This window comes from Homo sapiens, chromosome 7 (assembly GCF_000001405.40).
Source record: "Homo sapiens chromosome 7, GRCh38.p14 Primary Assembly".
In the NCBI taxonomy this organism is placed as follows: Eukaryota; Metazoa; Chordata; class Mammalia; order Primates; family Hominidae; genus Homo; species Homo sapiens.
In genome coordinates, this window is record NC_000007.14 from 144,248,962 (window position 1) to 144,257,662 (window position 8,701).

An 8,701-nucleotide genomic window follows, 5' to 3' on the forward strand; every position below is an offset into this window, starting at 1 on the left:
ACTCTTTAAAATTTTATTGTGCCTCAGTTTACCTTTTAACAGGAAAATAGATTGGCTCAGCAAAAATTTCTTCACCACCATGGTTGAAGAGCTAGCTACATACCTACACTGTCTGGTGAAATTTCCTTTTTCAGGGGTAAGACATTCTAATGAGGGAAATGATCCACAACTGGACTAACCAAGGTGGAAGAGCTGATGAAAAGACACTGGAGAATCACGCTTAGAGACAGATGTGCATATGTACAATACACAGCTCAACACTCAATGTTTTCTGAAGAAACCATAAACAACCCAAATAGTTTTCTTGGATACTCATTTTCAGCCTTTTCAACAGGGAATGCCCAGTTTTGCCTCTTTGCCAGCTACTAGCTACTGAGTTTACCCTGAACTTTGTAAACACTGTTCACTGTTCCCACACGGTCTGTAGTGTTCTTTTGCTTCTCTTCTCTCTTTTCCCTTATATATGTTCTTTTTGTTTTCCTTTTTTGTTTTCTTTTTTGAGACAGTGTCTCCCCGTCTCCCAGGCTGGAGTGCAGTGGCGCAATCTTGGCTCACTGCAACCTCTGCCTCCCAGGTTCAAGCAATTCTCATTCCTCAGTCACCAGAATAGCTGGGATCACAGGCATGCACCACCACGCCCAGCTAATTTTTGTATTTTTAGTAGAGATGCAGTTTTGCCACATTGTCCAGGCTGGTCTCAAACTCCTGGCCTCAAGTGATCCACCCACCTCAGCCTCCCAAAGTGCTGGGGTTACGGACATGAGCCACTGTGCCTGACTTATCTCTTCTTTTAAGTTTGTTCCTTCACTCAGCCTACTAGTTAACTCCTGTACATGAGTTAATAAGTTTTACACAAAATTTCTCAGCGCATGCAACACAACTAACTAAATCCCTCTATTTAACAGGGAAAGTGCAATTGTGTGAGAATGGACAAGTGTGCTGCTGGGTTTTGGGAATCACTTCTTTGGCTGAACCTTTTTATTTTCTTTTAAATCTTATGACATATGCCGTTAGTGAGTTTATATAGTTCGGTGTATTAGTCTGCTTTCACACTGCCATAAAGAACTACCCGGGACTGGATAATTTCTAAAGAAAAGAAGTTTAATTGGCTCACAGTTCCACATGGCTGGAGAGGCCTCAGGAAAGGTACAATCATGGCGGAAGCCACAGGGGAAGCAAGGCACGTCTTACCATGGCACAGCAGGAGAGAGAGAGCAAAGGGAGAAGTGCTGCACTTTTAAACCATCAGATTTCGTGAGAACTCGTTCACTATCAACAGAACAGCAAGGGGGAAATCCCTCCCCATGATCCAATCACCTCCCACCAGGTCCCTCCGCTGACATGCGGGGATTACAATTTGACATGAGATTTGGGTGGGGACACAGAGCCAAACTATATCATTTGGTTAAAGAAGTAAGTGGCCTGTATTTAACTTTTGGGACTGGGAAAATGAATTAAAATAATTCTTTATTTTACAGATATTAAAGTAATTGTGAAATAAAAGAAAAAATTGTCTGATAAAACCACATCTCATAGAAACCCAATGAATGCAACACATCTAAAATTTTATCTGCAAAAAACGAGAGAAGACTTGCCCTTCTGTCAGTAAAGCACAGATAAAGAGAAGTAAACTTTTCTGGATTGAGGCAATAATTGGGCATCAAGAGTCCACGTGACAACTGAGGCTGGCAGTTCAAATGTCACACCTCTTAGGAATGACTTTCCTTGCACAGTGCTCTCCTCAGGGCACCCTTGACCTCTACATTCCTCAGGTTGTAAATCAGGGGGTTTAGCATCGGGTTGAAAGAACTGTAAAATAGAAAAAGGACCTTCTGCTGCTCCTCAGGATGGCGGGACTTAGGGGCCATGTACATGACGATGGCGCTGCCAAAGAAGAGTCCCACTACGCAGAGGTGGGAGGAGCAGGTGGAGAAGGCCTTTCTGCGGCCCTCCCCAGACTGGATCCTCAGGATGGCCGCCAGGATGTGTGAGTAGGAGACCAGCACCAGGCAGAGTGGTCCCACCAGGATGAACATGCAGGCTGCAAAGATGACCACCTGGTTGAGCCAGGTATCAGCACAGGCCAGCCTGAGGACAGACAGGATTTCACAGAAGAAGTGGTTGATTTCACGAGGCCCACAAAAGGGCAGTCTTAGGATGAGGCTCACATGGACCATAGCCAGGAGGGAGCCACATGTCCAGGAAGTGATGGCCAGAGTGATGCAGACTTTCCAGGTCATGATGATGAAATATCGGAGAGGGTGGCAGATGGCCACGTACCGATCGTAGGACATCAGCACCAACAGGAGGCATTCAGTATGTGCAAAACTCAAAAAGAGAAAGGTCTATGTCATGCAGCCAGCAAAGGAGATGGGCTTGGCTGGATGCAGGAGGTTCACCAGCATCTGGGGCACTGTGTTGCAGGCATAGGCGATGTTGACGACGGCCAGGTGTGAGAGGAAGAAGTACATGGGGGTGTGGAGTCTGGAGTCCAGTGAGATGAGCCCCAGGATGGTCCCATTCCCCAGCAGGGTGAAGACATAGAACAGGGAGAAGAGCCCAAAGAGGAGCATCTGAATCCTTGGGCCCAGGAGAAATCCCAGTAGGAGGAACTCTGTGACCATTGTCTGATTTTTCACCATTTCACTACTAAAAAACAAACAAAGAAACAAACAAAAAACAAGCAGCTGTGTGACACGCTTTTTTTTAAAGTCTATTTTATTTATTGTTTTATAAATTTTTAGTTTGTGGAAAATTGTTAGTAAATGTCTTTAAGAACTCATTCAGTTATACATAAGTAAAGTTTTACTTGAAAACTTGCTGTTAATTCAAGTCCTTCATATTTGTAACAATCACTATACCTGAAATCCCAAATGCAAGAAATTGTTTTTCAAATAGAAAAAGTGTAGCTGACTTCAGCAACAAGAATTGCAATATACTATATAAGTAACCAACGGAAGGAAATTATTGACAAATCAATAATTCAATTTGGCACTTGACAAATGGCAGCATCAATGAATTAGCAGTAAGATGCTTAGCCTGTGAGTTGGTGGTGTGCTGAATTGATGAATTTGTTTTTTTGACCTTGGATCTTGGATCACAGTTTCCTTAATGAACTTCAACATGGTTTTTGGTGCAAACATTTGTCAATGCCATTGCAAGAACAAAATAACTTGAGTCTTATCTACTTTAGTGAGATTAAAGTGAGGAAAGGCACTGTTTTTGGCCAGTCCCTAGTTTAATTTTTGTCAGTACTAACTGGGATATAAAGGTGTGTTTCCCGAGGATATAAGAGACAGACTTGCATTCTGAGAAATAAATTTGTGAAACCCACATGTAACTGATGAGAATAACAATCTAGAGGTGAGAAACACGACACTTTCAGGAAACATTGAGTGGAGAGTTTGAGGAGCCTCCAGAAGGCCACTGCGGGTGCTTTGATGAAATCTCTGGGAGGCACAGCAGAAGAATGTGATTCATTCAGTGAGCCCAAGTGTAGTCGGTTGTATGGCGTGCCTGTCTGGAGGAAGACTGTAGGAAAAAGAAGGCAGGTGACCAATATGGAGTGTAGTCATCAGGCCAGAGGGGCAGCATTTGGCAATGCATCCTTAATGACATTCAGGGTAAGGAAAAAGGGGAACCAGCTGCACCAGGATCCTAGCCATCTGGTGATTCTATGTCTACAGTCTGGATAGATGGTTTGGGTAAATAGCCCTAGCTAGTAAAATCTCTAATTAGCCCCTCTTGCTCTGATTTCATATTCATCAATCAACTGTTAGGTAACAATTTATCTTCTTGAGCAGTTATTTCTACAAAGAAGAAATGTGTTGAGTACTAAACTTCTTGACTCCTTTTGCAGTCACATTTTCAAGTTTAAATAAATGAACATTTAGGTATCCTGGCTTATGCATTTTCCTCTTTTGCTTTTGGGTTGTATGATGCAGTTCCTGAACAAAATTCCCAAAGCTGAATCTAAAATGTGAGGACCAGACTCTGGGTCAAGGAAACCTCATTGAAGCAAGAACTGGGGAAAGAGACAGATTCCTTTCTAACAGCAACAGATGAGATATCTATTTTCTTATAAGCATTATTGATAGGTGATCAAGTTACCTTGACACAAAAATAATCTAAATAACAAATTAAAAATTCCTCACTTGTGACCAGGACTTATTAAATTTTAGGTTGATAGTAAAAATTTCTCAGTAGGTGCCGTCATATGCACCTGTAGTTCCAGCTACTTGGGAGGCTGAAAGCAGGAGGATAGCTTGAGCCCAGGAGTTCCAGGACAGCCTGGATAACATGGCAAGCCCTCATCTCATAAAATAACATAAAATAAAAAATTTCTGTGTTTATCAAACTTTCTAAATTTATTTTTTAAGCTCATAAGGCATAGAAAAATATTTGACTGTGAAAGATGTATTCAAACCCACCCACTTATAAAATAATAATTTCCTTTCTCAATTTTTCATTTCCCTCAAAAGGAAGACATAAAGGAAAAAAGAAACACAGTAAAAGCCATGATTTTTTGAAGCCAACTGAAAGACAGGTGTAAAAGAAGGAAAATAAGGTACCTCATAGTCTGAGTATTCTTTCAGAACAGTAGTCCTGTTTGATTCAGCCTTGATTTCTTTTAAAGAAATGGAGAGGGCATGTTCATTTTTATATCCCTTTAATTGTGTATGTTAATACACATTTTCAAATGACATATAAATATAAGCAAATGAATTAATAACTAAGTATTGATGTCCTTATATTAGATCTGGTTTCTTTTACAGTATAGTCAAGTATAATTATGCCAAATTCAGCCCCTTCTTCCCAAAGGAAATAAAATGCTACAATTCAGGAGAATTTCATCCCTAATGATCTGAATTAAAATGAAATTTTAAAAATGTGTCAAGAACAACGGGAAGATTCATAAAGTGTTTAAACACTTGAATTTTGAATCACTTCTCTTTTATCTATTTTTTTTCTTATTTTATTTGATACCTATGTGACATACTTATTGTTAATTAAAGACAATCAAGAGGAAACCAAACAGAGTAAATTTCTAGGGGGTTGGAAGGAGTGGACTGGGGGATTTTGCTCTACCTTGACACACGTTGTAATTCCAAATGTACCTTTCAGGCATAGAGATGTACATTAATTTATATATGTACAATTTCAGAATTTAAAAAATGACAGATTATCTGGCTAATACATGGTAAGGAAACTAGAATTTTAAAGTAAATATCTAAGAAGGCATTTGTTGCTGTATATATAAGCAAAACAGCGTAACTTTATGGAACCTGCATTTTAAAAAGCAAATCTCAAAATTTAATGATCTGTCAGGTTCTTTTTTAAAATCTTGGGCATGGGTAAAGCAGAATCGCTGAAGTGATTACCTGTAGTTAATCTGTAGCTCAGCTGAGCTGCAGGGCTGTTTACTTGTAAGTAACAAGTGAGAAATGAAAACTAAGTTATCTCATTGCTTACATAGTTATGAGCCAAGACTTTGCAAAGTTGTCTTATGGAGTCAGAGTTGATAACGTAAGTACGTTTTCTGGATATAAGAACTATCGTGGACCATGAAGAACTGAGTGTCAGTTTCATGTAACGACCGTCTATTCAATAATCTGCTAGAGGTTGATAACAATTGATCCTACTCTTGAGTGCTTCCTGTGAACTGGGCACTGGAGGAACACAGTGTAGCAAGTTGATGGTTCTGAGCTTGTGAAGATTTCATTGTGAAGATGTGCCTCGGGAGGAAAAGCAGAAATAAATAAAAAGGTACACATTAAACAAAAATCCTATAAAAAGAAAATTTAAAGTATTATTAATTATTACATCGTTTTCCTACTTTGTTACACCACCACCTACCACCTGAGTTCTTTTTCTGTACTCTTTCCATGTGCACCACAAAAACTTATCCTCCAGTCTATGGAAAATCTAATATTTATACATATTTATCTAGTACATTGCAGGTGCCTTATGCCCTCTTTAGTGCCATGCTTAATGAAAGATAAGACATAGATTTAGCATCCATTTGGGTTTATATTCTATTGCAATAAATATATTCTCATAGATTAGCATGTATTGTGACTGTACTGGCAATAATTAAATGCATAATTTATTAAACAGCTGACATGTATTAATTTTCCTGAGCTGTAACATCTCTCCATAATATACTGTGCTATACTTTCCTTTGGCTGCGAAAATTATTTCATACATTTTATCAAAATCTATAAAACAGAAATTTCTGGCTTTTTTTGTGAGTGTCATCTTTCCCAAAGAAATCTCTATCACATAGATATTTCTCCACCAAAGAAACATATATAGCCAAGTCCTAAACACTTTTACATAATTTGCACATCAAATGTGCATCTATTTTTCCCCTGGAACCATTGATATATAATATGAATAATGAGCATATATGTTTAGCCATAAAATAAATGATTTACTTCCCTTCCCATTACTTAATAAAAAGTGTTAGTAACAGAGTGAGAGTGAACCAAAGCCTAGGTGCCACCACGAGTCTAGGAGGAATTCATGGTAAGTAAAGAAAGGCAACCTGGTTAGCTCCCACATTCGGACTCAAGGATCTCAGAAGGGTGAAGCACCGCAAGGTTTCTGGGAGTTTCTGTGGGAGCTGCAGAATCTTTGCTTCTGTTTCTGATTGAAAAGGTATCAGAATCCTCAGAAAATGAGGTGTTATTCTCTGATGGGCTCAGTCTGGTTGGCAGTTCAGGGCTCTCAGGAGGGGCTGGGCCATGAAACTTCCTACATGTTCAACTCCTCGGGGAAGGAGAGATAAAACAATTGTGTTTTTCAATTTCTGTTCTCAACCCCAGCAGGATGCACAATTAAGAAACACATATTAAGAAACCGCATATTCTCACTCATAGGTGGGAATTGAACAATGAGATCACACGGGCACAGGAAGGGGAATATCACACTCTGGGGACTGTTCTGGGGTGGGGGGAGGGGGGAGGGATAGCGTTGGGAGATATACCTAATGCTAGATGACGAGTTAGTGGGTGCAGCGCACCAGCATGGCACATGTATACATATGTAACTAACCTGCACAATGTGCACATGTACCATAAAACCTAAAGTATAATTTAAAAAAAAAAGAAAAGGAAGAAAACGCAAGCTCAAGGTCAGTCAACCACAGAGCACACCTCTGAGACAACCATTCCCATCCCGGAATACTTGGCATGATTTGAATTTCATGAATACTCACATTGCCCTTGTTCCCCAATCTCCAGATGGTTCAAGTGAACCTGTCAGGAAGCAGGAACAGTGTGACAATGAATAAGCTCCTGGTGTGAACCTCTGGAGCTCAGCCTCTCCCTGATGTAATCTGGGTTCCTTGTGTGGCAACAGTAATGGGAAGAAAGGACCTGAAATATTAGTTGATTCCAAGGGACCCTCTAAGGTTAGAGAGGCAGAGAGCAGACAAGGGTGTCCAAAATGTCCCAGTGGGGCTTATTAGAACCTACCTGAAGGGAACGTTTTTCTAGGACACAAAACACCGGTGCAAATCCACTGTTGAAAATGTTCTCCAATGTCTATTGTGAAATGGAGAGATTTTGAGTTCAGCTCCTTTCGGGAGGGGAGGAAAGAATCCTCTCCAAGGCAGCTTCCTCTAGCAGTTTCCTGCCTCTTGTGGGATGAGAAGATTTGCTGTCTAAGATATTATCATATTTATTTGTATTTTGCTGAGTTCTTTTACTGGATGTAAGGCAGTCCAAATGTTATTTGGAAATCTCCTATCAATCAATCATGCAATTTAGATAGAAGTTAGTTCCATACAGTGTGATCTCTGACTTGCTAAGGTTTAGAATAAACTCAAAGGGCAATGTGGCACAGTTATTAAGGTTTGAGAGTATGCCCATCTGTGCTCTGACTCTACACATCCACTGCGAGAAGAAACATCCATATAACACCAAAAACACTATATGAAAATCTTGTTGCACAGTAGGCCACCCATCAATATTACAGCTTTTCTTTTTCTTTTGATGTTCCAGGTGACCTGCAGGAAATGTAGAAATCAGGAAACTGACATACAAAAGAAAAAGTTAGTAGCAAATGGAAACAACTTTATAAAAATATAATATGGTATATAGTATAAAAATTATACTACAGTATACTTTTTACTTTATAAAAAGTATACCATAAAATAGTTTTAAAACTATTTTTATACTATATAAATAGTATAAGCAGTATAAAATAGGCTGGGCAGGATGGCTCATGCCTGTAATCCTAGCACTTTGGGAGGCCGAGGCAGGTGAATCAACTGAGGTCAGGAGTTTGAGACCAGCCTGGCCAACACGGTGAAACCCTGTCTCTACTAAAAATACAAACCCTGTCTCTACTGAAAATTAGCTATGCGTGGTGGCACATGCCTGTAGTCCCAGCTACTTAGGAGGCTGAGGCAGGAGAATTGTTTCAACCCAGGAGGCAGAGGTTGCAGTGAGCCGAGATTGCACCACCGCACTCCAGCCTGGGCTATAGAGCAAGACTGTCTCAAAAAAAAAAAAAAAGGATAAAATAGTTTTAGGACATAGTTTTATATCTAACATGATATGACACTGAGTTATTGTGTAAAAAGTTATTTTAAAATATAAAAGTAAATTCTTTGAACTAAGACAATGAGAAATTAAATATAAATGTTTAAGACCAAACTTAAACCTAGAAAAAACATCATCTCAAAATGACATGT

The 8,701-nt window shown here is 39.6% G+C and overlaps 2 long non-coding RNA genes and 1 pseudogene across 3 annotated transcripts in view, besides 1 other annotated feature; 1 reads left to right on the forward strand and 2 right to left on the reverse strand.

Annotated features, from left to right (window-relative positions):
- ARHGEF35-AS1 (ARHGEF35 antisense RNA 1) overlaps window positions 1-8,701 on the forward strand; it is a 104,269-nt gene that overhangs the window by 53,641 nt on the left and 41,927 nt on the right. The window lies entirely within an intron of this gene.
- OR2A1-AS1 (OR2A1 antisense RNA 1) overlaps window positions 1-8,701 on the reverse strand; it is a 117,146-nt gene that overhangs the window by 10,389 nt on the left and 98,056 nt on the right. The window lies entirely within an intron of this gene.
- Window positions 1,692-2,192: an enhancer, noted in NCBI's record as "H3K27ac hESC enhancer chr7:143947746-143948246 (GRCh37/hg19 assembly coordinates)". NCBI's record gives its function as "activates a minimal SCP1, AML or CMV promoter by ChIP-STARR-seq in naive H9 embryonic stem cells {active_cell/tissue: H9 hESC(naive)}" and the evidence as "EXISTENCE:reporter gene assay evidence [ECO:0000049][PMID:30033119]".
- Window positions 1,713-2,642, reverse strand: OR2A20P (olfactory receptor family 2 subfamily A member 20 pseudogene; annotated as a pseudogene). The gene has a single exon (NR_002158.1). The product of NR_002158.1 is annotated as an olfactory receptor family 2 subfamily A member 20 pseudogene (transcript).